Raw genomic sequence first — 22,723 nt, forward strand, 5'->3', positions numbered from 1 at the left:
ACTTGCAATTTCTCACTCTCAACGAGCCCTGGCCCCAACTAGGTTATTTGGGCTCCCTCCCTAGGTCTCAGGGACCTCTGTTCAAAGTCCTAGCAATCTGGGCCAGGTACAATGGCTCACGCCTAAAATTCCAGCACTTTAGGAGACCAAGGCGGGCAGATCACTTGAGGCCAGGAGTTTGAGACTGGCCTGGCCAACATGGTGAAACCCTGTCTCTACTAAAAGTACAAAAATTAGCCGGGCATGGTGGTGCACCCCTGTAATCCCAGCTACTCAGGAGGCTGAAGCACAAGAATCTTTTGAACCTGGGAGGCAGAGGTTGCAATGAGCTGAGATGGCGCCACGGCACTCCAGCCTGGGCGACAGAGCAAGACCCTGTCTCAAACAACAAAAAACAAATAAAACAAACAAGGTCCTAGCAACCCTACTAACCTGTTATGAAGACTGATACAGGGGCATCACCTGCCCCAATTTTCTGACTCAGGTCAGCCTTATATTCCTACTCTAATCTCACCCCTATCCCCGTCCCACACCCACTATTCTTAAAACCTCCATGGTCCTCCGGGGGCAGCTGTAGACACATTAAGCCCAGGGCTATGGGGCCACTGGAACCTTCTCCAGTGGGTCTGAAAACATCAGCATTCCAGGAGTTGATGAGCCCCTACCTGGGCACCACTCCCTCTTGGGCCTGAGAAGGCCGGGGGGAACCTGCAAGGAATATGTGGAATTCTATATGGTGCCTCTGATACTGCGGTAATGTCAGGGAGAGGTTTGTTCAACTGGTCAGGGCCCTGAAACCCCGATCACTTTCTCATCTCTGCATCTTGAAGGCTAGCAGAGAGGAGGAACCCTGAGCTCTCTAGGAGGTGGGTAGGTGGTGGCAGTACAGACTCCTAGATGTCTAAACGGAGTTGCAGAGAGAAGGCTTTCTCGGTAGACCCTGGAAGGGACTTTTACGGTAGAACTTTCATTTTACAAGCAGGGATAGAGGCCTAGATGGGGACAGAGACGTGTCCAAGGTAAAACAATGGACGGAGGCAGGGCAGGGAGAGGCCAGGTCCTAGACTCGGCCTCAGCACCCCTCCCACACACACATCGACACAGAAGCTGGTCCAGATTTATAATTTAATGGCTGTGCAGATCCCAGTCCCTCATTTCTGTCGCTCACGTGCCCACTGGTCTGGGGTCAGGGTTTTCTGTTCAAAGGCATGGATGTGCGGGAGCTCTTCTGCTAGGCACGCGTTCACCAGCCTGGGGCGAGAGATGGGGTTAGGAAAAGGCCAGCGGTGATCGCACACCCCGAGGCTAGGGTGACCCAAGAGACTGGTGTCCCCAAGGTTGTAGTCCCCAGGCCGTGGGAACACGTACTTGGAGAGAGGGTCTACATCGAAATACTCGAAGCAGGGGTCACGAAGGCGGGATCCTCAAGGTCCCTGAGCCACGCCAGGGGGAGTGCGGGAGTCAGGTTGCAGGGGTAGGGGGAGTGGCTGGGGTTGTGGTACAGGAGCTAGGCAAGGTGCTCCCAGGGCCTTACCTGTGTCTCTGAAGCAGCGGTTTCCCCTCGAACTTGGCCGACACCACCAGGACTCGGAAGCTACAGGAGCAACGGTTGAGGGTCGTGTCCTCCACCTCCTACCGAGCGGAAGAATATGAATGGTGCCGAACCCGCCCCCCGAGCTCTTTTCCCCTTGTCCGGCGGCTCAACTCACCACATGCTCCGCCTCCAGGTCCCGCTGCAGCTTCTCGCGGAGGTATTCGGCGCTGAGTTCCATGGCGGCAGTCCAGCTGGAACGGCAGCCCAGCAGGGACACAACCCCAGCTCGGGCGCCGGCCACGCTACCTTGCTGCCTTACAGGAGCCACTTCCGCTGGAAAACTCACTTCCGCCCTTACTAAGGCGTACGTCAACGCAGTACTTCCGCCCTCAAGCAGCCGGGCTTTCCAGCGGTCCAGGCTTTTCGCGCTTGCCATGTGTCAGCCAATCAGAGCCTGAGGAAGGTGGGACTCGGGCGGAGCCGATGCTGAATGGTACGCGCTCGCCGACTGGACAGCAGTCTGGCTTCCGCGGTCGGACTTCTACACCCGCCTCCAGACAGGAGAGGGGCACGTACCGGCGCTACGGCTTCCTGCAGGCTGCCTCCGGATAGTCCCCGAGAGCTTGTTCCGAAGCAAGCACCCTGCAGCCCTAGCGATCCAGCCCTCCCCTGGACCCTAGGTCACGGCAATCAACCCCCTGCTGTGGTTCCCGAACCCCAAGGCCCGATGGGTCCCGCGGGGGTCGCGGCGAGGCCAGGGCGCTTTTTCGGCGTCTACCTGCTCTACTGCCTGAACCCCCGGTACCGGGGCCGCGTCTACGTGGGGTTCACTGTCAACACTGCTCGTCGGGTCCAGCAGCACAATGGGGGCCGCAAAAAAGGCGGGGCCTGGCGGACCAGCGGGCGAGGGCCCTGGTGAGAGGGGGAGGCCTTCTGTGCCGGGAGGAAGGCGTCCCAGAGGAGGCGGACCCCGCGGGGCACAGGCCTGTTGAGAAGGACCGGCCAGGACTGTGACAGAGGCGGGGCGTCTGTGGTGGGGACGGGGCCTGTCGCAGGGGAGGAGCGTGACGGGGAGGCGGTGCCCGGGGCATCTCCGCGGCGGAACTCAGGGAAGGAGCTAGCTGGGGCGGGGGTGATGATCCAGGCTGGGTTCCAGCATAGGGCTCTTGGTGGGCACGCTGGGGTCGGGTGGAATGCAGGAGAGAGAGGAGGTGGGACAGGTGGGTACCTGGGCTGGAGGCAGGGCCTGAGGTGGGCAGGTGCAGAGGGCTGCACTTCTCGGCTGAAGCCGGGAATGAGGACCCCGCTCTCGGGTGGGATTGGAGGGGACCCGCGGCTGAGGCGCTGGGCTGCGACAGGGACATCACGGTTCTCCTCCTCAGGGAGATGGTGCTCGTCGTGCACGGCTTCCCGTCCTCCGTGGCCGCCCTTCGGGTAAGGAAGGAGACCGGGCAGCGGCGGCCGGGTGAGGGCTTGGGTTCCGCCCCTCGCTCCGAGCCGCCCTGATGCCCCTGTACGCCGCCCGCAGTTTGAGTGGGCTTGGCAGCACCCGCACGCCTCGCGCCGCCTGGCGCACGTGGGGCCTCGCCTGCGAGGAGAGACAGCCTTCGCTTTCCACCTGCGCGTGCTGGCGCACATGCTGCGCGCACCGCCCTGGGCTCGCCTCCCGCTCACGCTGCGCTGGGTGCGCCCAGACCTCCGCCAGGACCTCTGCCTCCCGCCGCCGCCGCACGTGCCTCTGGCCTTCGGGCCTCCACCGCCCCAGGCCCCGGCCCCAAGGCGCCGCGCAGGTCCCTTTGATGACGCGGAGCCTGAGCCAGACCAGGGGGATCCAGGGGCCTGCTGCTCCCTGTGCGCCCAGACCATCCAGGTGAGGTCCCCCCGAGGAATGGATGGCTCTAGAGTCCAGACGACTTCGGATCCAGCTCTTTCTTGAGGGAAACCCACTGACACGCTTTGGCCACCCTATCCCCATCTCTAAGATGCTGATGCTATAGGACTTACGGCCATTCCTGAGCAAAGCAGGCCCTGCTCAGGGCCTTCACCATTTCCCCTTCAAAGAAAAGGTTCTTCCCTAGGCCATCAGTACTCCGCTGCACTCCAGTGTGGTCGACAGAGCATGACCCTCTTTTTTTTTTTTTTTTTTTTGAGATGGAGTCTAGCTCTGTCGCCCAGGCTAGAGTGCAGTGGCGCGATCTCTGCTCACTGCAAGCTCCGCCTCCTGGGTTCACGCCATTCTCCTGCCTCAGCCTCCCGAGTAGCTGGGACTACAGGCGCCCGCCACCACGCCTGGTTAATTTTTTGTATTTTTAGTAGAGACGGGGTTTCACCGTGTTAGCCAGGATGGTCTCGATGTCCTAGCCTCGTGATCCGCCCGCCTCAGCCTCCCAAAGTGCTGGGATTACAGGCATGAGCCACCGCGCCCGGCCCTTTTTTTTTTTTTAGACAGAGTCTTGCTCTGTTGCGGAGGCTGGAGTGCAGTGATCTCAGCTCACTGGAAGCTCCGCCTCCTGGGTTCAAGCGATTCTCCTATCTCAACCTCCCAAGTGTGCCACCACACCTGCCGAATGTTTGTGTTTTTAGTAGGGATGGGGTTCGCCATGTTGGGCAGGCTGGTCTCAAACTCCTGACCTCAAGTGATCTGCCCGCCTCGGCCTCCCAGAGTGCTGGGATTATAGGCGTGAGCCACCATGCCTGGACATGACCCTGTCTCTAAAACAATGTAATGAACTGCAGCTCATTCTTGTGTGCACTTTTCTGCACCCCCTTTCCCTTAACACTTACTATTGTCTGGCATGCTACGTGTTTTCTTGATCTCATTAGCCTCTCCCACCCCAACTGCCACACTGCACTATCAGAGGGCAGCACTTATCACTGCTGTAGAACAAAGTCCTGCACTGAGCCGATGGCCCAGAAATTTTCTTTTTATTTATTTATTTATTTTTTTTTTGAGACAGAGTCTTACTCTGTCGCTCAGGCTGGAGTGTAGTGGCGCGATCTCAGCTCACTGCAACCTCTGCCTCCTGGTTTCAAGCAATTCTCCTTCCTCAGCCTCCAGAGTAGCTGGGATTACACGCGCCTGCCACCGCGCCTGGCTAATTTTTGTATTTTTAGTAGAGATGGGGTTTCAACCATGTTGGCCAGGCTGGTCTCAAACTCCTGACCTCAGGTGATCCTGCCCACCTAAGCCTCCCAAAATGCTGGTATTACAGGCATGAGCCACCGTGCCCGGCCTAAATATTTAATAAAATAATGGACGATGGGTGCCTTCTACTGAGCTCCCGGTAATTGTGAGTGAGTAGAGGACTTGCCCTGGGGACATTCAGTGACCTGCTGGGTGTTGCTGAGCTGTGAGGAAGTTCAGGTCTGGCTGCAGTGGTGAGGCTGTGACTCAATCAATCACTGCTGATGCTCCCAGGACCTGCACCAGCTTAGTCCTAGGGGCAAGGATTTTAACTGTCCACCTCAGTTTCTTCATTTGTAAGATGCAAATAACAGTCACCCCTGCCTCATGGGATGGAGCTGTGTAATGCCCGCAACAGTGCCTGCTGCATAGAGGGGTTGCTGCCAGCTGCCTCTCCCTCCTTGTCTCTTACCTGCCTGCTGCCTGGGTCAGGATGAAGAGGGGCCCTTGTGTTGCCCCCACCCTGGCTGCCTGCTAAGGGCCCATGTGATCTGCCTGGCAGAGGAGTTTCTTCAGGAAGAACCAGGGCAGCTTCTGCCCCTAGAGGGCCAATGCCCTTGGTGAGTGCAGTCCCCTGGCCCCAGCCTGGTCCACCTCTGGGAAGAGGGTGCCCAGTTGTGCAATCCAGGCCCAGGCAGCTGAGCCCTCATCTCAGCATCCAGGGCGGATACTGGAGGGGGCTTGTGGCATCTGACTCTGTATCTCCTACCTGCCCCTCTCCTTGGTAGCTGTGAGAAGTCACTGCTTTGGGGAGACCTGATCTGGCTGTGCCAGATGGACACTGAGAAAGAAGTAGAAGACTCAGAATTAGAAGAGGTGAGTGGGCTTTGGTGGCGGGCTCCCTACCCCACTCCCTGCCCTGGGCTGCCTGTGACCACACTGCTTGCCTCTGCAGGCACACTGGACAGACCTGCTGGAGACCTGATCCTCAGTGTCCTTACCCCCTCCTACCTCTTTTCTGTGCCACCTGCTGTGGGTCCAGCAGGTTTTTACTTGAGTACAATAAAAAGTCTGAGTCAAGGGTGCCTTATGGTGGATGCTGAGGGGAGGGGCGGAGCTAGTAGCCCAAGGTCCTGCCAGTCACGGGGCTTCCTCAGGGGCACAGAGGAGGCAGGAGGGGCCCCTGGCCCTAGCACGTGAACAGCTTCTACTCTGCCTGGAAACCCCATGCCTCAGCTTTCCCCTACTTGCCTCTGAGCTCATGCAATTCTTGGAAGCCTGGGAGACTTACCTTGAAATTGAATGCAAATAGGACAAAGACCAAGGAGGATGGGGGGATGCCCTCCTTCCACGGGGCCCTGTGGCTTCCAAGTCTTAATCTCCTCTAGTCTCTTGTCTACGGAGCCTCCTTCAAACCCAGGGAAAGAAAAGCACCTGCCAGGGTTGTTTTTCTTCTAGGATCTTCTATTGATGCTCTGTGAGGTCCCCCAGGAGCCATGAAGCTAGGGCTGGCTCCTAGGGCAATGGGACTACAGTGTCCTTGTCCTTTCTTATTCTTTCTGTTCTTTCTTTCTTTCTTTTTTTTTTTTTTTTTTTTTTTTTGAGACAGAGTCTCACTCTGTTGCCCAGGCTGGAGTGCAGTGGTGTGATCTTGGCTCACTGAAACCTCCGCCTCCTGGGTTCAAGTGATTCTCTTGCCTCAGCCTCCTGAGTAGCTAGGATTACAGGTGCCCGCCATCATGCCCAGCTAATTTTTGTATTTTTAGTAGAGACAGGGTTTCACCATGTTGGCCAGCTTGGTCTCGAACTCCTGACCTCAGGTGATCCTGCTGCATCGACCTCCCAAAGTACTGGGATTACAGGCGTGAGCCACCACGCTCAGCCTCTTTCTTGTTCTATATGTCCATGCTCTGCTCCACTTCTGCCCCTTCACTCTGCCCCCACACATCACTCCAGACTGGCCTTGTGGTCAGAGCCTGGAATGCCTGGGCTGCTGGGGGCCTGTGGACTGCACTGGGCCAGAACCCCTGCCGCCTTCAAGACTGGCCTGTAGCCAGCAGGTAGGTGACTTTTCCCAGGCCGGCCTATCCCACCTTTCCCCTCCACTCACTCACCTCCCTTGCCTGGGTCAATTAGAGAAAGCTTGTCGGCCAGGCATGGTGGCTCATGCCTGTAATCTCAGCACTTTGGGAGGCCGAGGCGGGCGGATCATCTGAGCTCAGGAGTTTGAGACCAGCCTGGCCAACATGGCAAAACCCCGTCTCTACTAAAAATACAAAAATTAACCGGATGTGGTGGTGTGCACCTGTAATCCCAGCTACTCGGGAGGCTGAGGCAGAAGAATCGCTTGAACCCAGGAGGGGGAGGTTACAGTGAGCGGAGATCGTGCTACTGCATTGCAGCCTGGGCGAGAGAGCGAGTCTCCATCTCATATAAAAAAAAGAAAAAGAAAGAAAGAAAGCTTGTCTGTTGGCCTGCCCTGCAGGGTGGAGTTCAGAGGGAAGGTCAGGAGCCTAGTGACAGCTCAAAAAAAAAAAAACCCAAATACCAATGTTGGCCCCTTTTGCCTTTCATTCATGTGTTTTCTATACACTAAACTCACATATTGGGTTTGCAGATCACTCCAAGCTTGGCTGGAGCTGTGGTGGTAAGGAGGGTAATAGAGAAGCTTCCCCACCCTCAACCCCACCCCTTCCTTCCTGGAGTTCCCAGCCCTGACTTTAGATCCCTCCCACACTGGACCTTCAAAACCCTCAGGGCAGAGAGCAGCCCTACACTCCCTACACCACACCCATACTCAGCCCCTGCAGGCAAGGAGAGAACAGGTCAGGTTCCCGAGAGCTCAGGTGAGTGACACGTTGGAATGGCCCAGGGCACCTTCACCCTGCTCAGCTTGTGGCTCCAACATTCTAGAAGCCGAGGCCTCTGCCATCCCTGCCCTTTCCCATGGATATTCCATTTCAATTAGACAACCCAGCCTGGCCGGAATCCCCCTGCGTTCCTTCTTTTCCTTTGTGTATTTTTGAGACAGGGTGTTGCTCCGTCACCCAGGCTGGAGTGTAGTGGGATCCTGGCCCACTGCAGCCTCAAATTCCTAGGCTGAGGCAATCCTGCCGCCTCAGCCTCCTGAGTAGCTGGGGTTACAAGAGCAAGCCACCACACCCAGCTAATTTTGAAAAATATTTTTTGTAGAGGAGAGGTCTTGCTTTGTTGTCCAGGTTGGTCTCAAACTCCAGGGCTCAAGGGATCCTTTCCCGTTGGCCTCCCAAGGCTCTGGGATTACAGGCGGGAGTCACCCTGCCTGGGCCCCTCCTTTTGATGAGTCATCAGTTTTCATTCCCGCACGAGGCTCTAGCCCCTGGTACCAGCTTAGTTGCTCAATGGGCTGTGTTTGTTCTGGAGCCCAGATGGACTGTGGCCAGGCAAGTGGATCACAGACCTGGCCGGCCTGGGAGGTTTCCACATGTGAGGGGCATGAGGGGGGCTCAAGGAGGGGAGCATCGGGGAGAGGAGCGCACTGGGTGGAGGCTGGGGGTCCCAGCAGGAAATGGTGAGACAAAGGGCGCTGGCTGGCAGGGAGACAGCACAGGCAGGCCCTAGAGCTTCCTCAGCACAGCTGGACTCTCCTGGAGACCTTCACACACCCTGATATCTGGGCCCCGCGCTACGAGGGTGCTTTCACTGGTCTGCACTATGCCCCAGGCCCTGGGATTTTGAACAGCTCTGCAGGTGACTGAAAGGTGCGGCCAGGCTGGGGAACGACCTGGTTTCAGCCCCAGCCCCGCCACTGACTGACTTTGTGAGTGCGGGCAAGTCACTCAGCCTCCCTAGGCCTCAGTGACTTCCCTGAAAGCAAAAACTCTGCAAAGGGGCAGCTGGGTGCTGGCTCACACCTGTAATCCCAGCACTTTGGGAGGCTGAGGTAGACAAATCACTTGAGGCCAGGAGTTCTAGACCAGCCTGGCCAACATGGTGAAACCCCATCTCTACTAAAGAAAAAAAAAAATTAGCTGAGCATGGTTGTACATGCTTGTAATCCCAGCTACTTGGGATGCCGAGGCGGGAGGATTGCTTGAACCCAAGAGGTGGAGTTTGCAGTGAGCTGAGATTGTGCCACACTGCACTCCAGCTTGGGTGAGAGTGAGACTCCATCTCAAAAAAAAAAAAAAAAAGAGAGAATCCCACTTTCTTGCTGTTGTGATGGTGGTAAGGGAACGGGCCTGGCTCTGGCCCCTGATGCAGGAACATGGAGCTGATCCAGGACACCTCCCGCCCGCCACTGGAGTACGTGAAGGGGGTCCCGCTCATCAAGTACTTTGCAGAGGCACTGGGGCCCCTGCAGAGCTTCCAAGCCCGACCTGATGACCTGCTCATCAACACCTACCCCAAGTCTGGTAAGTGAGGAGGGCCACCCACCCTCTCCCAGGCGGCAGTCCCCACCTTGGTCAGCAAGGTCGTGCCCTCAGCCTGCTCACCTCCTATCTCCCTCCCTCTCCAGGCACCACCTGGGTGAGCCAGATACTGGACATGATCTACCAGGGCGGCGACCTAGAGAAGTGTAACCGGGCTCCCATCTACGTACGGGTGCCCTTCCTTGAGGTCAATGATCCAGGGGAACCCTCAGGTGCATGGCTGGGTCCTGGGGGTAAGGGAAGTGGAGGAAGACAGGGCTGGGGCTTCAGCTCACCAGACCTTCCCTGACCCACTACTCAGGGCTGGAGACTCTGAAAGACACACCGCCCCCACGGCTCATCAAGTCACACCTGCCCCTGGCTCTGCTCCCTCAGACTCTGTTGGATCAGAAGGTCAAGGTGAGGCCGGGCTCAATGGTTCACACCTGTCATCCCAGTTTGAGACTGAGGAGGGAGGATCCCTTGAAGGCGAGAGATGGAGACCAGCCTGGGCAACATTGCTGTAGAGATGACATCCCATCTCTACAAAAATAAAATTAACAACCTGGTATGGTGGCATAGACTGTTCCCAGTTACTTAGGAGGCTCAGCGGGGAGGACTGTTTATGCAAATAGGAAGCTGCAATGAGCCCTGATGATCCTGCTGCTGCACTCCAGCCTGGGCAACACAGCAAAACCATCTCTACGAAAAAAAAGTTCCCACTGACTGGCAAGGAAAGCCAGGAAGGGGGGCTCAGGTGCCCTCTCAGCCATGTACCTGTTCTTCTGGAAGGGCCTCCTCGCTTCTGCCAGGCTCATCACATCTTTTTTTTTTTTGAGACAGAGTCTTGCTCTGTCACCCTGGCTGGAGTGCAGTGGCATGATCTCAGCTCACTGCAACCTCCGCCTCCCCAGTTCAAGTGATTCTCCTGCCTCAGCCTCCTGAGTAGCTGGGATTACAGGCGTGTGCTACCACACCCGGCTAATTTTTGTATTCTTTTTAGTAGAGACGGGGTTTCACCATGTTGGTCAAGTGGATCTCAAACTCTTGACCTTGTGATCCTCCTGCCTCGACCTCACAAAGTGCTGGAATTACAGGCGTGAGCCACCGCGCCTGGCCCTTTTTTTTTTTGAGACAGTTTCACTCTTGTTGCCGAGGCTAGAGCGCAATCGTGTGATCTCGGTTCACTGCAACCACCGCCTCCTGGGTTCAAGCAATTCTCCTGCTTCAGCCTCCCAAGGAGCTGGGATTACAGGTACCTGCCACCACGCCCGGCTAATTTTGTATTTTTAGTAGAGATGGGGTTTCACCATGTTGGTCAGGCTGGTCTTGAACTCCTGACCTCAGGTGATCTGGCCACCTTGGCCTCCCAAAGTGCCGGGATTAGAGGCATGAGCCACCACGCCCAGCCTTCATCACATCTTGAGAGAGGACACTGTCTGCCTCTTGCTCTGATGAGGGTCTGATGCAAGGATAGTGAGTCTCTACAGTGCACACTTAAGAAAGGCAGCATGTGGGTGCTCACAGGTCAGCGGAGGAGGGGGAGCTGGTGGGGACCAGGCATGCCTTGCTCCAGATCAGGATATGATGGCATTGGTGCAGATTATATTAGTATAGAATATGGTCTCAGGAACCAGGCAGGACTTTGGCTTCCGAGCAGGGTTCAGATCCCAGCTTGGCCCTACCTGTGCAGTGAGATCTCAAGCAAGTCAGCCTCTAAGCCTCAGGTTCCTCCTTTGCCAGTTCAACAGATGAGCTGGCCTGGGGTGGGCTGTGTGGTGATGGTGCTGGGGCTGGGTCCTCTGCCCCTGCAGGTGGTCTATGTTGCCCGAAACCCAAAGGACGTGGCGGTCTCCTACTACCATTTCCACCGTATGGAAAAGGCGCACCCTGAGCCTGGGACCTGGGACAGCTTCCTGGAAAAGTTCATGGCTGGAGAAGGTGGGCTTGACTGGAGGAAGGAGGGTGTGAAGCCGAGGGGTGGTGGCTATAACGTACAGCAACCCTGTGTCGGTGCCCCCTGCCCGCTTCTCTAGTGTCCTACGGGTCCTGGTACCAGCACGTGCAGGAGTGGTGGGAGCTGAGCCGCACCCACCCTGTTCTCTACCTCTTCTATGAAGACATGAAGGAGGTGAGACCGACTGTGATGCTTCCCCCCATGTGACACCTGGGGGCAGGCACCTCACAGGGACCCACCAAGGCCACCCAGCCCCGTCCCTGGGCGGCTCCCACAGCAAGCCCGGATTCCCCATCCTACCTCCCTGGCCCAGGCCCCCCCACTGCAGCCCCACCTGGCAGCAGGCTCGGCACAGCTTTCATCTTCTGCACCTGAGTCAGCTGCATGGGTGGCCACGGATCAGATACTTAGTCCTATTGCTTATCCTCACCAAAGGGTGTGCCACCCAGGGCCACAGTCATGGAAGAAGACCATCCCGGTCCTCACCCATAGGCGCCAAGCCCTGTTCATGATGGGATCACAGGGCAGAGATCAATTCATTTTACTCCAGAGACTAGGGCCCCAGGGGTTGAGGCTCTTTGGGGTTTCTAGGGGAAGTGGCCAGATCCCCTCTGAGGTTAGAGAGGGGGACCCGTTTTGTTTTGCTCCACTGAGGAGCCCTCTGCTGCTCAGAACCCCAAAAGGGAGATTCAAAAGATCCTGGAGTTTGTGGGGCGCTCCCTGCCAGAGGAGACCATGGACTTCATGGTTCAGCACACGTCGTTCAAGGAGATGAAGAAGAACCCTATGACCAACTACACCACCGTCCCCCAGGAGCTCATGGACCACAGCATCTCCCCCTTCATGAGGAAAGGTGGGTGCTGGCCAGCACGGGGGTTTGGGGCGGGTGGGAGCAGCAGCTGCAGCCTCCCCATAGGCACTTGGGGCCTCCCCTGGGATGAGACTCCAGCTTTGCTCCCTGCCTTCCTCCCCCAGGCATGGCTGGGGACTGGAAGACCACCTTCACCGTGGCGCAGAATGAGCGCTTCGATGCGGACTATGCGGAGAAGATGGCAGGCTGCAGCCTCAGCTTCCGCTCTGAGCTGTGAGAGGGGCTCCTGGAGTCACTGCAGAGGGAGTGTGCGAATCTACCCTGACCAATGGGCTCAAGAATAAAGTATGATTTTTGAGTCAGGCACAGTGGCTCATGTCTGCAATCCCAGCGATTTGGGAGGTTGAGCTGGTAGGATCACAATAGGCCACGAATTTGAGACCAGCCTGGTAAAATAGTGAGACCTCATCTCTACAAAGATGTAAAAAAATTAGCCACATGTGCTGGCACTTACCTGTAGTCCCAGCTACTTGGGAAGCAGAGGCTGGAGGATCATTTCAGCCCAGGAGGTTGTGGATACAGTGAGTTATGACATGCCCATTCACTACAGCCTGGATGACAAGCAAGACCCTCCCTCCAAAGAAAATAAAGCTCAAAATAAAATATGATTTGTGTTCATGTAGAGCCTGTATTGGAAAGGAAGAGAAACTCTGAGCTGAAAGAGTGAATGCCCGGTGGGGCCACATATGGTCACCTCTCCCCCAGCCTTCAGCTCCCCAGGTCACCATATCTGGGGAGGGGAGAAGGGTTTGGAGAAGTAAAACCCAGGAGATGTGTGGAGGGGGGATGTCTGTTTAATCCCAGCACATCCTCTGCTGTCCTGCCCCAAGATGGTGGAGGACGTCGAGTCCGCCGGGCAGCGTCACTTTTTCTTGGGCTCCTTAGAAGCTACCAGGTACCTCTGGGCCACACTGAGATGAGGGGAGTAGCCGTCTGCATAGGAGGTGTCTTCAAACAGGATAGAATAGTCCTCCTGGGGCTGTGGGGCAGGTGGACAGGAAGGGCAGAGAGCAGCCCCGGGGCTGGTGTCACTCACTTGTTGGTGGCATGGCTGTAACTGACCACCTCGGCCAGGATCCACTGCTCATCCCCATCCACGGCCTTCACCCGGGCAGCCACCTTGTCTCCAGGTCTGGCCACGTAGTCTCCTGAGGCAGGGATGGCCCCACAGAGGGGTGGGGGCCTGTGAGTGGAACAAAGGATCAGTCCCAGCCCCTGGGCACCAGCCCCTTCCTCGCAGCTGCTGCCCTCACTTGTCACCAGGCTTCCCAATCCACAGGGGCAGGGTCATGGCCGACTGCTGCAGCAGGGTCATCAGCACCCCTCTGCGCATGGTCTTCCGGGGTGGCTCCAAGTCATTGTAGAGACCCGCGATCTTGGCCACTGTGGGAAGAAAGGGAGGCCTGAGGCCCCAGGGACAGGGGCTGGCCCTGACCCCCCAGCATGCTGAACTGAGCTGCTGGAGGAGCACCTGGGAGCCCCCAGCTCCCGAGTGAGCCCGAGGGCACAGCAGGACTGTGACCTGATCTGCCAGGTGTCCTACAGGGGCTGCTGCGCTCAACTACATATGGGTGAGACGGCAGCACACCAGGCACCCAGGGGAAGGAACCAGGGAGGGACAAAGCGGGTTCTGAGGTGCTGGTGAGGTTCTCTTCTTGATGTCGGTGCTGACACAGAAGTGTGTTTCGTTAGTGAAAAGTTCCTAAAATTCGAAGGGTCCCGCGGGAATCGGGGCGAGGCCGGGTGCCTCTTCAGCGTCCAGCTGCTCTACTGCCTGAATCCCTGGTACCCGGGCCCTGTCTACGTGGGGCTCACTGTCAACCCTGTTCGTCCAGCAGCACAATGGTGGCCGCAAAAAAGGCGGGGCTTGGCGGACCATTGGCCGAGGTCCCTGTTAAGAGGGGGAGGGTCTCTGTGCCCGGAGGAAGGCTCCCTGGAGGAGGCGGAACCGGGGGGCACAAGCCTGCTGAGAGGGACCCACTAGGTCTGTGACGTGCGCGGGACGTCCCGGGCGAGGCCTGTTGGTGGGGGGAGGCTGTCGCAGGGGAGGAGCCTAACGGGGAGGCGGTGCCCTGGGAATCTCGGCGTTAGAACTCCGGAGAGCAGCTGGCTGAGGCGAGGGTGATGATCCAGGCTGGGGTCCAGCGCAGGGGTCTTGGGGGGCACGCTGGGGTCGGGTGGAGCGCAGGAGGGAGAGGAATGAGAACAGGTGGGTACCTGGGCTGGAGGCGGGACCTGAGGTGGGCAGGTGCAGGGGGCGTGCCTTCAGGCAGTTGCGGGGCCAGGGCTCGGCTGAAGCTGGGAGTGAGGACCCCGTTCTCCGGTGGGATAGGAGGGGACCCGCGATGCTGGGCTGCGCTGGCGGTAGGGCGCGGCGGGGCTCACAGGAACATTCCTGTTGTCCTCCCCATGGAGATTGTGCTCGTCGTGCACGGCTTCCCATCCGCCGCGGCCGCCCTTCGGGTAAAGAAGAAGACCGGGCGGCGGCCTGTGGCCTGGATTTGGGGTCCGACCCCCGCCCGGAGCCGCCTTGACTCCAACCCCGCCGCGGTTGGAGGGGGCCTGGCACCCCCGCCCTGGGCGCTCCTCCCGGTCCCGTTGCGCCCCGACCTCCGTCAGCCGCACGGCACTGGCCACTGACCGTCGGGCCTCCTCCGCCCCAGGGCGCCGCGCAGGTCCCTTTGCTGACGCCGAGCCTGAGCCTGAGCCGGTCCCGGGGTCCAAGAGGGCTGTGTGCACCCTGCGCGTCCGCGCGCTCCAGGGGAGGTGCGCTCCAGGGGAGGTCCGCCCCAAGCAGAGCGGCACATCCTCCAGACGACTTCGGATCCTGCTGTTGAGGAGCCAGGAAACGCCCTGACACTGTTGCGGCCCTGTCCACATCTCTAAGATGGGGATGGATGATAGTACTTCTGGCCATTCCTGAGCACAGCAGGACCTGCCTTTTCCCTTTGACTGGAAGGTTCTTCTCTACATCTTCAGTCTTGATAACCTGCCACCTCCACAGGGAGGTCTTCCCTGGCTCCCAATTTAAAATTGCAGCTCTGAGAAGCCGGGCATGGTGGCATATGCCTGTAGTCCCAGCTACGGGGGAGGCTGAGGTGGGAGGATCGCTTGAGCCCAGGAGTTGGAGGCTGAAGTGAGCTATGATCACTCCATTGCACTCCAGCCTGGGGGAAACAGCAAGACCCTGTCTCTAAAAAAATAAAATACAATAAAATTGCGGCTCTTTCTTGTGCACTTCCCTGCCCGCCCCCCTTTCCTGAACCCTTATTATTTTCTGCCATACTACAAATTTTATGCATCTCATTAAACCCCTTCCGAACCTGTGTACTAAACTGCCTGGGGGCAGCTCTCATCACTGCTGTAGAACAAAGTCCCACATAGAGCCAATGGCCAAGAAACAGTTAATAAAATAACAGACGATGGTCCTGGCCTCTACTGTGAGTGAGTAAAGGGCTTGCCCTGCAGAGATTCAGTGATCTGGCGGGGGTTGCTGAGCTATGAGGAAGTTCAGATCTGGCTGCAGGGGTGAGGCTGTGACTCAGTCAATCACTGCCCATGCTCACAGGACACTGGCCAGCTTAGTCCCTGGGGGCAAGGATTTTACCCCCCCCCCCCCACCTCCATTTCCTCATCTCTAAGATGTGAATAATCGTCGCCCCTGCCTCACAGGATTGAGCTGTGTAACCCCCCTCCCACCTTTTTTCTATGCCATCCACTGCGGGTCTGGGGCTTTTTACTGGAATGCAATACAAAGTCTGAGTCAAGGGTGCCTTCTGTTGGTTGCTGAGGGCGGAGGCAGAGCTAGTTGCCTGTGGTCCTGCCAGTCAAGGGGCTTCCAGAGGAGGGAGGAGGGGCCTGTGGCCCTAGCATGTGAGCAGCTTCTCCTCTGCCTGGAAGCCGGACGCCTCAGCTTCTCCCACACTCCCACCTGCCCGCTTGCCTCTGAATTCACACAATTCTTGGAAGGCTTGGGAGACTCACCTTTACTCAAATGGTTACCTGTCTCGTGTCTCGTGCCCAGCTTGACCTTTTTTTTTTTTTTTTTTTTTTTTTTGAGTTGGAGTCTTGCTGCGTCACCCAGGCTAGAGTGCAGTGGCGTGATCTCAGCTCACTGCAATCTCCGCCTCCCGGGTTCAAGCAATTCTCCTGCCTCAGCCTCCCCAGTAGCTGGGATTACAGGTGCCCACCACCGTGCCTGGCTAATTTTCGTATTTTTAGTAGAGACAGGGTTTCACCATGTTGGCCAAGCTGGTCTTGAACTCCTGACCTCGTGATCTGCCCACCTTGGCCTCCCAAAGTGCTGGGATTACAGGCGTGAGCCACCATGCCTGGCCCCAGCTTGACCTTGAACTTTAAATAGTGAAGACAAAGAATGAGGAGGGTGGGGGGATGCCCTCCTTCCACAGGGCCCTGTGGCTTCCAAGCCTCAACCTCCTCTGGTCTCTTGTCTGTGGAGCCTCCTTCAAACCCAGGGAAACAAAAGCACCTGCCACGGGCTGCTGTTTTTCTAGGATCTTCTAGCGAAGCTCTGTAACTTCCCCTGAGAGCCATGAAACTGGGCTGGCTCCCAGGGTGATGGGACTCCAGCGTCTTTGTTCTTTCTTGTTCTATGCATCCATGCTCTGCTCCACCGCTGCCCCTTCAACTCTGCCCACACATATTACTCCAGACTGGCCCTGTGGTCAGAGCCTGGAATGCCTGGGCTGCTGGGGGCTTGCATGCAGGCTGCACTGGACTAGAAGCATTGGCGCCTTCAAGACTGCCCTGGGAAACATGACCTGCCCTGTTTCTGTCTAGTGAGTACCCATTTTTCCCCACTCACCGGCTCACTTCCCTTGGCTGGGTCAATTAGAAAAAGCTCTTCTGTTGGCCTGCCCTGCAGGGTGGAGTTCAGAGGGCAGCTCAAGAGCCCGGTGACAGCTCAAAAAATAAAAAAAGCCGCCAGGAGCAGTGGCTAATGCCTGTAATCCCAGCACTTTGGGAGGCCGAGGCAGGCGGATCACCTGAGGTCAGGTGTTCAAGACCAGCCTGACCAACATGGTGAAACCCCGCCTCTACTAAAAATACAAAAATTAGCCGGGTGTGGTGGCGGATGCCTGTAATCCCAGCTACTCAAGAGGCTGAGGCAGGAGAATTGCTTGAACCCAGGAGGTGGAGGTTACAGTGAGCCGAGATCCTGCCACTGTACTCCAGCCTGGGCGACAGATCACGACTCCATCTCAAAATAAATAAATAAATAAATTATACATTGGGCTCTTTTGCCTTTTATTCTTGTGCTTTCTAATCACAACTAAACACTAAACTCACATCTTGGCTTTGCAGATCACTCTAAGCTTGGCTGCAGCTGTGGTGCTGAGGAGGCTAATAGAGAAGCTCCCTCGCTCTCAACCCCACCCCTTCCTTCCGGGAGCAAACCCAAGTCTGGTCCCGACTCCGGATCCCTCCCACATTAGACCTACCACACCCTCAGGGCAGACAACAGCTCCACACACCCCACACTCAGCCACCAGGGCAAGGGAGCAAAATTCCAGAAAGCTCAGGTGAGTACCAGAGTGGAATGGCCCAGGGCGCCCTCACCCTGCTCAGCTTTTGGAGCCAACATTCCAGCAGCCAAGGCCTCTGCCATACTGGCTGTTTCCCCACGGATATCCAGTTTCACTAGGGGAACTCCAGCCTGGCTTCCCTTCTTTCTTTTTTATTTTTGTTTTTTTGAGACAAGGCTTGGCTCTGACACCCAGGCTGGAGTGCAGTGGCCAAATTGTAGCTCACTGCAGCCTCAAAATCATGGGCTCACATGATAATCACGCCTCAGCTTCCCTGGTAGCTGGGTGTACAGGAGAGAGCCACCATGCCCAGCTAATTTTTTAAACTTATTTTTAATTTATTTTTTATTTTTTTGAGACGGAGTTTTGCTCGTGTTGCCCAGGCTGGAGTGCAATGGCATGATACAGCTCACTGCAACCTCCGCCTCCTGGGTTCAAGCGACTCTCCTGCCTTAGTCTCCCAAGGAGCTGGGATTAGAGGCATGCGCTATCACACCCTGCTAATTTTGTATTTTTCATAGAGAAGGGGTTTCTCCATGTTGGTCAGGCTGGTCTTGAACTCCCGACCTCAGGTGATCCGCCCCACCTTGGCCTCCCAAAATGCTGCGATTACAGGTGTGAGCCACCACACCTGGCTGCCCAGCTCAGTTTTAAATATTTTTTTTCTAGAGATGGGGTCTTGCTGTATTGCCCAGGTTGGTCTCAAAGTCCAAGGCTCAAGTGATTCTTCCCCACTGGGCCTCCAAAGCTCTGGGATTACAGGCATGAGCCATGGTGTCCCCTCCTCATTCTGCGGAATCATCAGAGTTTTGTTCATTCCCACACCAGGCTCTGGCCCCCAGTACCAGCTCAGTTGCTCAATGGACCATGCTTGTCCTGGAGCCCAGATGGACTGTGGCTGGGCAGGTGGATCACAGGCCTGGCCGGCCTGGGAGGTTTCCACATGTGAGGGGCCTGAGGGGCTCAAGGAGGGGAGCATCGGGGAGAGGAGCCCACTGGGTGGAGGCTGGGGGTCACAGCAGAAAATGGTGAGACAAAGGGTGCTGGCTGGCAGGGAGACAGCACAGGCAGGCCCTAGAGCTTCCTCTGTGGGCGGCAAGCCACCCAGGCACCGAGGCAAGAGACAGAGGACACGATCTGTTCCAGTATAATAAAATATAAAACAAGAATAGTTATACCAGATATAGATCTTAGATATGATTATATATGAATATCATTAATCATTAGTTTGTAGCAATTACTTTTTCTTCCAATATTATAATAATCCTTGCTCTATAATCATAGCCTAGGAAAAACCAGGCCATACAGAGACAGGAGCTGAAGGGACATAGTGAGGTGTGACTGCAAGACAGGAGTGCGAGCCTTCTGTTATGCCCGGACAGGGCCACCAGAGGGCTCCTTGGTCTAGCGGTGACGCCAGCGTCTGGGAAGACGCCCGTTACCAGGCGGATCGTGGTCCAGCGGTAGCAAAAGGTGTCAAGAAACAACACCCGCTACTCAGCAGACCAGGAAAGGGGGGTCTCCCTTTCCCTGGGGGAGTTTAGAGAAGACTCTGCTCCTCCACCTCTTGTGGAGGGCCTGACATTAGTCAGGCTCGCCCGCAGTTATCCGGAGGCCTAACCGTCTCCCTGTGATGCTGTGCTTCAGTGGTCACACTCCTAGTCCACCTTCATGTTCCATCCTGTACACCTGGCTCTGCCTTCTAGATAGCAGTGGTAAATTAGTGAAAATACTAATAGTCCCTGATATGCAGAAATAATGGCATAAGCTGTCTTTCTCTTTGTCTCCTCTCCCTCTCTGCCTCGGCTGCCAGGCAGGGAAGGGCCCCCTGTCCGGTGGACACATGACCCACGTGACCTTACCTATCATTGGAGGTGACTCACATTCTTTACCCTGCCCCTTCTGCCTTGTATCCAATAAATAACAGCGCAGCCCGACATTCGGGGCCACTACCAGTCTCTGCACATTGGTGGTAGTGGTCCCCCGGGCCCAGTTGCCTTTTCTCTTGTCTCTTTGTCTTGTGTCTTTATTTCTACACTCTCTCATTGCCGCACTTAGGGAGAGACCCACCGACCCTGTGGGGCTGGTCCCTACAGAGAATGACTTGAACCTGGGAGGCAGAGATTGTAGTGAGGTGAGATTGCACCACTGCACTCCAGCTTGGGTGACAGAGCAAGACTCTGTCTCAAAAAAAAGATGAGGTGAGTTCAGTTTGGGAAATGTTGAATGCCAGATGCCTTTGGCCTATTCAGAGGGAGATTGCCGAAGCACAGAGGAGAGTTCATGACAGGGTTTAATTATTTTTAGTGCTCTCATGTCCCAGATTCGGCCAATTGGAGTCCCTCCACGCTGGTTCCTGTGTCCTGTGACATCACCCATCTTCTTTCTCCTTTTCTTCTTTCATAAGCCACTTCCTTCCTGGCATGACAGTGTGTTCCAGGACCATCTTGTACCTTGCACCTGCCCTGCCCTGGCCCTAGAATCAGCCAATTCTCTGAGGCATCCTGATTCCTTTTTGTGGGGGAACGGTTTGAGAACAAAATATACTACTACATGATACTATATTCTGACAGGAAAAAACACAGCCATAAGAAATAAAGCCATGGCCGGGCACAGTGGCTCCTGTAATCCTAACACTTTGGGAGGCTGAGGCAGGAGGATTGCTTGGGGCCAGGAGTTCAAGACCAACCTGGCCCACATAGTGAGCCCTCATCTCTATTAAGAAAAAAAAAAAAGAAAGAAGGAAAGCCATATTTGGATGAGTTTAGTCTTCTGATTATTTTTGCTGAAGTTTTAAATTATTATTATTATTATTTTTTGAGACAGAGTCTCGTTCTGTTGCCCGGGTTGGGGTGCAATGGTGCAGTCTCAGCTCACTGCAACCTCTGCCTCCCAGGTTCAAGCAATTCTCCTGCCTCAGCCTCTTGAGTAGCTGGGATTACAGATTCCTGCCATCACGCCCTGCTAATTTTTGTATTTTTGTTAGAGATGGGGTTTCTCAATGTTGGTCAGGCTGGTCTCAAACTCCCGACTTCAGGTGATCCGGCTGCCTTGGCCTCCCAAAGTGCTGGGATTACAGGGGTATATTTTATATTTAAAGTATATTTAAAAATTAAGGGCCAGGCTCAGTGTCTCACGCCTGTAATCCCAGCACTTTGGGAGGCCGAGGTGGCTGGATCCCATGAACTCGGGAATTTGAAAGGCACAAGAGCGAAACTCCGTCTCAAAAATATATGTAAAATATATTTTATGGCCAGGCATGGTGGCTCACAACCGTAATCCCAGCACCTTGGGAGGCCGAGGTGGGCAGATCACCTGAGGTCAGGAGTTCAAGACCAGCCTGGCCAATATCGTGAAACGCTGTCTCTACTAAAAATACAAAAAATTAACTGGGCGTGGTCGTGTGCACCTGTAATCCCAGCTGCTCAGAGGCTGAGGCAGGACAATCCCTTGAACCCGGGAAGTGGAGGTTGCAGTGAGCCGAGATCGCACCATTGCACTCCAGCCTGGGCAACAAGAGCGAAACTCCACCTCAAAAACAAAACAAAATAAAACAAAACAAAACAAAACAAAATATATGTATATACACACACACATTATATGTAATATCTACTTTTAAATATAAACATAAATATTATAAAGCTTTTATTGCAATTGTTCATTTTAGAAACTTCAGAAAATACAAATTAGTAAAAAGAAGAAAATAAGTCTGTAATACCACTTTTAAGAACTATTTTAAAAACCTCTAGCTTTTTTTTGAGATATAATTTACATACCAAGACTTTTTTAAAAAAAAAAATTCATAATGGTGACTTTTTTATCGGACTGTATAGAATAAAGCTTGTTAAAATGTCTAAGATATTTTGTAATATATGAAAATTTCAGCTAAACTTGTGCTATAGCATCCCATGGTTTGAATATATTATTGAAAATCATTCCATAAACAATGGTTTGGTATATAGTTTTAACAATTCAAGGCTGGGCACAATGGCTCACGCCTGTAATCCCACCACTTTGGGAGGAGGAGGCAGGCAAATCACCTGAGGTCAGGACTTCAAGACCAGCCTGGCCAACATGGTGAAACCCTGTCTCTAATAAAAATACAAAAATTAGCCGAGCATGGTGGCAGGTGCCTGTGATCCCAGCTACTGAGGAGGCTGAGGCAGGAGAATCACTTGAACCTAGGAGGCAGAGGTTGCAGTGAGCCGAGATCTTGCCACTGCACTCCAGCTTAGGCGACAGAATGAGACTCCATCTCAAACAAAATAAATAAATAAAATAATTCAGCAGGATGAGGTGGCTCATGCCTATAACCCCAGCACTTTGGGAGGCTGCGGTGGGACTATTGCTTTTGCCTGGGAGTTCAAGACCAGCCTGGGCAACATAGAGATACCATGTCTCAGAAAATATATATATAATTAATTTTAAAAAAGAGAATTCATTGATGATTCTGTATTTACAAATATATTCCTGCATCATTTGTTCATGGTAACCAGGAAATTGCAATGCATAAATACATGCTGTCATTTCCAAAGCGGCTCTCTTCCAGAATTGGTACTGATTCTAGTAGACTTTTCATTCTGATGTTAAAAATATAATTAATAGAAATGTCTTGTACCTAATAGCTTTTTTCCCCACAACTCCCCAACCCCCTCACTCTAGAGGCCTTAGTAGTCTAATTTAATCAGCTTAGTCTGAAATATAATACTACCTTGGCATCTTGTTGGCCTAGTATTTCTTACTCTTTTATGGAATGAACTGTGCAATTGTTTTGTGTGGCTAAAAGGTATTCTAGGTCGAGTATAGTGGCTCACACCTGTAATCCCAGCGCTTTGGGATGCCGAGGTGGGCGGATCACCTGAGGTCGGGAGTTCGAGACCAGCCTGGCCAACATGTTGAAAACCCGTCTCTACTAAAAATACAAAATTTAGCCAGGTGAGGTGGTGTGCATCTGTCATCGCAGATACTCAGGAGGCAGAGGCACGACAATTGCTTGAACCCAGGAGGCAGAGGTTACGGTGAGCTAAGATTGCATCACTGCACTCCAGTCTGGGCAACAGAGTGAGACCCTGTCTCAAAAAATAAAAAACAAAATAAATAAATAAAAAATAAAAGGCATTCTAATTAAGTTGTTGCTTTTTTTTTTTTTTTTAATTCCAGAGCGGACTGATGTACTGGCCCTTAGTACAGGTGAGTTCCGCCTGCTCAGTAATATGAACTCAGGGCTTTGGTTTCCATGTGGCCCTAATGGACTCACTCTCCCTGTTCCAGCTAACCAACTTCAGCCTTGTTCCTGTTCA

At 54.7% G+C, this 22,723-nt stretch overlaps 4 protein-coding genes, 1 long non-coding RNA gene and 1 pseudogene across 17 annotated transcripts in view, besides 3 other annotated features; 3 read left to right on the forward strand and 3 right to left on the reverse strand.

Annotated features, from left to right (window-relative positions):
• BOLA2-SMG1P6 (BOLA2-SMG1P6 readthrough) overlaps nucleotides 1-2,483 on the reverse strand; it is a 12,060-nt gene extending 9,577 nt beyond the window's left edge. For 3 of the 7 annotated variants that reach the window (NR_135316.1, NM_001320623.1, NM_001320627.1), the window contains exons 1-2: nucleotides 1,710-2,483; nucleotides 1,535-1,632 (exon numbers count right to left, since the gene is read on the reverse strand). Coding sequence is in view for 4 of the 7 variants with exons in the window: in NM_001320623.1 (NP_001307552.1) it covers nucleotides 1,535-1,632; nucleotides 1,710-1,970 (359 nt within the window). In the remaining 3 variants the exon portion in view is untranslated. Of the gene's footprint in view, nucleotides 1-1,534 lie in introns of all 7 variants that reach the window. The other 4 variants (NM_001320625.1, NM_001320624.1, NM_001320622.1 and 1 more) reach the window with 3 other exon arrangements.
• On the reverse strand, nucleotides 1,107-2,483 carry BOLA2 (bolA family member 2). Of its 3 annotated transcripts, none has more exons than NM_001320579.1 (3): nucleotides 1,710-2,483; nucleotides 1,535-1,594; nucleotides 1,107-1,251 (listed from the first exon to the last, which is right to left on the reverse strand). In NM_001320579.1, exons 1-3 carry the CDS (start codon nucleotides 1,968-1,970, stop codon nucleotides 1,201-1,203), a joined length of 372 nt encoding a protein of 123 aa, NP_001307508.1. In that variant the 5' UTR covers nucleotides 1,971-2,483; the 3' UTR covers nucleotides 1,107-1,200. The 3 variants fall into 3 exon arrangements, 2 of the variants coding, with proteins under 2 accessions (NP_001307508.1, NP_001026997.2); NM_001031827.3 differs by having other exon boundaries at nucleotides 1,112-1,251; nucleotides 1,535-1,632; nucleotides 1,710-1,870; NR_135304.1 differs by having other exon boundaries at nucleotides 1,535-1,724.
• Nucleotides 1,547-2,286: an enhancer, noted in NCBI's record as "OCT4-NANOG-H3K27ac hESC enhancer chr16:29465349-29466088 (GRCh37/hg19 assembly coordinates)". NCBI's record gives its function as "activates a minimal SCP1, AML or CMV promoter by ChIP-STARR-seq in primed H9 embryonic stem cells {active_cell/tissue: H9 hESC(primed)}" and the evidence as "EXISTENCE:reporter gene assay evidence [ECO:0000049][PMID:30033119]".
• SLX1B (structure-specific endonuclease subunit SLX1B) lies at nucleotides 2,052-5,739 on the forward strand. Of its 4 annotated transcripts, none has more exons than NM_001400286.1 (6): nucleotides 2,052-2,449; nucleotides 2,917-2,968; nucleotides 3,069-3,404; nucleotides 5,151-5,278; nucleotides 5,447-5,534; nucleotides 5,614-5,739. In NM_001400286.1, exons 1-6 carry the CDS (start codon nucleotides 2,262-2,264, stop codon nucleotides 5,641-5,643), a joined length of 822 nt encoding a protein of 273 aa, NP_001387215.1. In that variant the 5' UTR covers nucleotides 2,052-2,261; the 3' UTR covers nucleotides 5,644-5,739. The 4 variants fall into 4 exon arrangements, with proteins under 4 accessions (NP_001387215.1, NP_076949.1, NP_835145.1 ...); NM_024044.5 differs by having other exon boundaries at nucleotides 3,063-3,404; nucleotides 5,614-5,738; NM_178044.4 differs by lacking the exon at nucleotides 3,069-3,404 and having other exon boundaries at nucleotides 5,614-5,738.
• On the forward strand, nucleotides 2,610-12,499 carry SLX1B-SULT1A4 (SLX1B-SULT1A4 readthrough (NMD candidate)). Its single transcript, NR_037609.1, has 11 exons — nucleotides 2,610-2,968; nucleotides 3,063-3,404; nucleotides 5,151-5,278; nucleotides 5,447-5,534; nucleotides 8,901-9,052; nucleotides 9,157-9,282; nucleotides 9,372-9,469; nucleotides 10,864-10,990; nucleotides 11,086-11,180; nucleotides 11,679-11,859; nucleotides 11,982-12,499. It is a non-coding gene; the product is annotated as an SLX1B-SULT1A4 readthrough (NMD candidate) (long non-coding RNA).
• Nucleotides 3,027-3,764: an enhancer, noted in NCBI's record as "H3K27ac-H3K4me1 hESC enhancer chr16:29466829-29467566 (GRCh37/hg19 assembly coordinates)". NCBI's record gives its function as "activates a minimal SCP1, AML or CMV promoter by ChIP-STARR-seq in primed H9 embryonic stem cells {active_cell/tissue: H9 hESC(primed)}" and the evidence as "EXISTENCE:reporter gene assay evidence [ECO:0000049][PMID:30033119]".
• Nucleotides 6,251-7,086: an enhancer, noted in NCBI's record as "H3K27ac-H3K4me1 hESC enhancer chr16:29470053-29470888 (GRCh37/hg19 assembly coordinates)". NCBI's record gives its function as "activates a minimal SCP1, AML or CMV promoter by ChIP-STARR-seq in primed H9 embryonic stem cells {active_cell/tissue: H9 hESC(primed)}" and the evidence as "EXISTENCE:reporter gene assay evidence [ECO:0000049][PMID:30033119]".
• On the forward strand, nucleotides 7,432-12,485 carry SULT1A4 (sulfotransferase family 1A member 4). The gene is made up of 8 exons (NM_001017390.3): nucleotides 7,432-7,504; nucleotides 8,901-9,052; nucleotides 9,157-9,282; nucleotides 9,372-9,469; nucleotides 10,864-10,990; nucleotides 11,086-11,180; nucleotides 11,679-11,859; nucleotides 11,982-12,485. The coding sequence occupies exons 2-8, from the start codon at nucleotides 8,905-8,907 to the stop codon at nucleotides 12,092-12,094; spliced, it is 888 nt and encodes a 295-aa protein (NP_001017390.1). The 5' UTR covers nucleotides 7,432-7,504; nucleotides 8,901-8,904; the 3' UTR covers nucleotides 12,095-12,485.
• Nucleotides 12,486-15,097, reverse strand: LOC388242 (SAGA complex associated factor 29 pseudogene; annotated as a pseudogene). Its single transcript, NR_002556.1, has 5 exons — nucleotides 14,424-15,097; nucleotides 14,095-14,334; nucleotides 13,131-13,260; nucleotides 12,997-13,060; nucleotides 12,486-12,856 (listed from the first exon to the last, which is right to left on the reverse strand). The product of NR_002556.1 is annotated as an SAGA complex associated factor 29 pseudogene (transcript).
• Between the last annotated feature and the right edge of the window lie 7,626 nt (nucleotides 15,098-22,723).

Source organism: Homo sapiens, chromosome 16 (genome assembly GCF_000001405.40).
Source record: "Homo sapiens chromosome 16, GRCh38.p14 Primary Assembly".
In the NCBI taxonomy this organism is placed as follows: domain Eukaryota; kingdom Metazoa; phylum Chordata; class Mammalia; order Primates; family Hominidae; genus Homo; species Homo sapiens.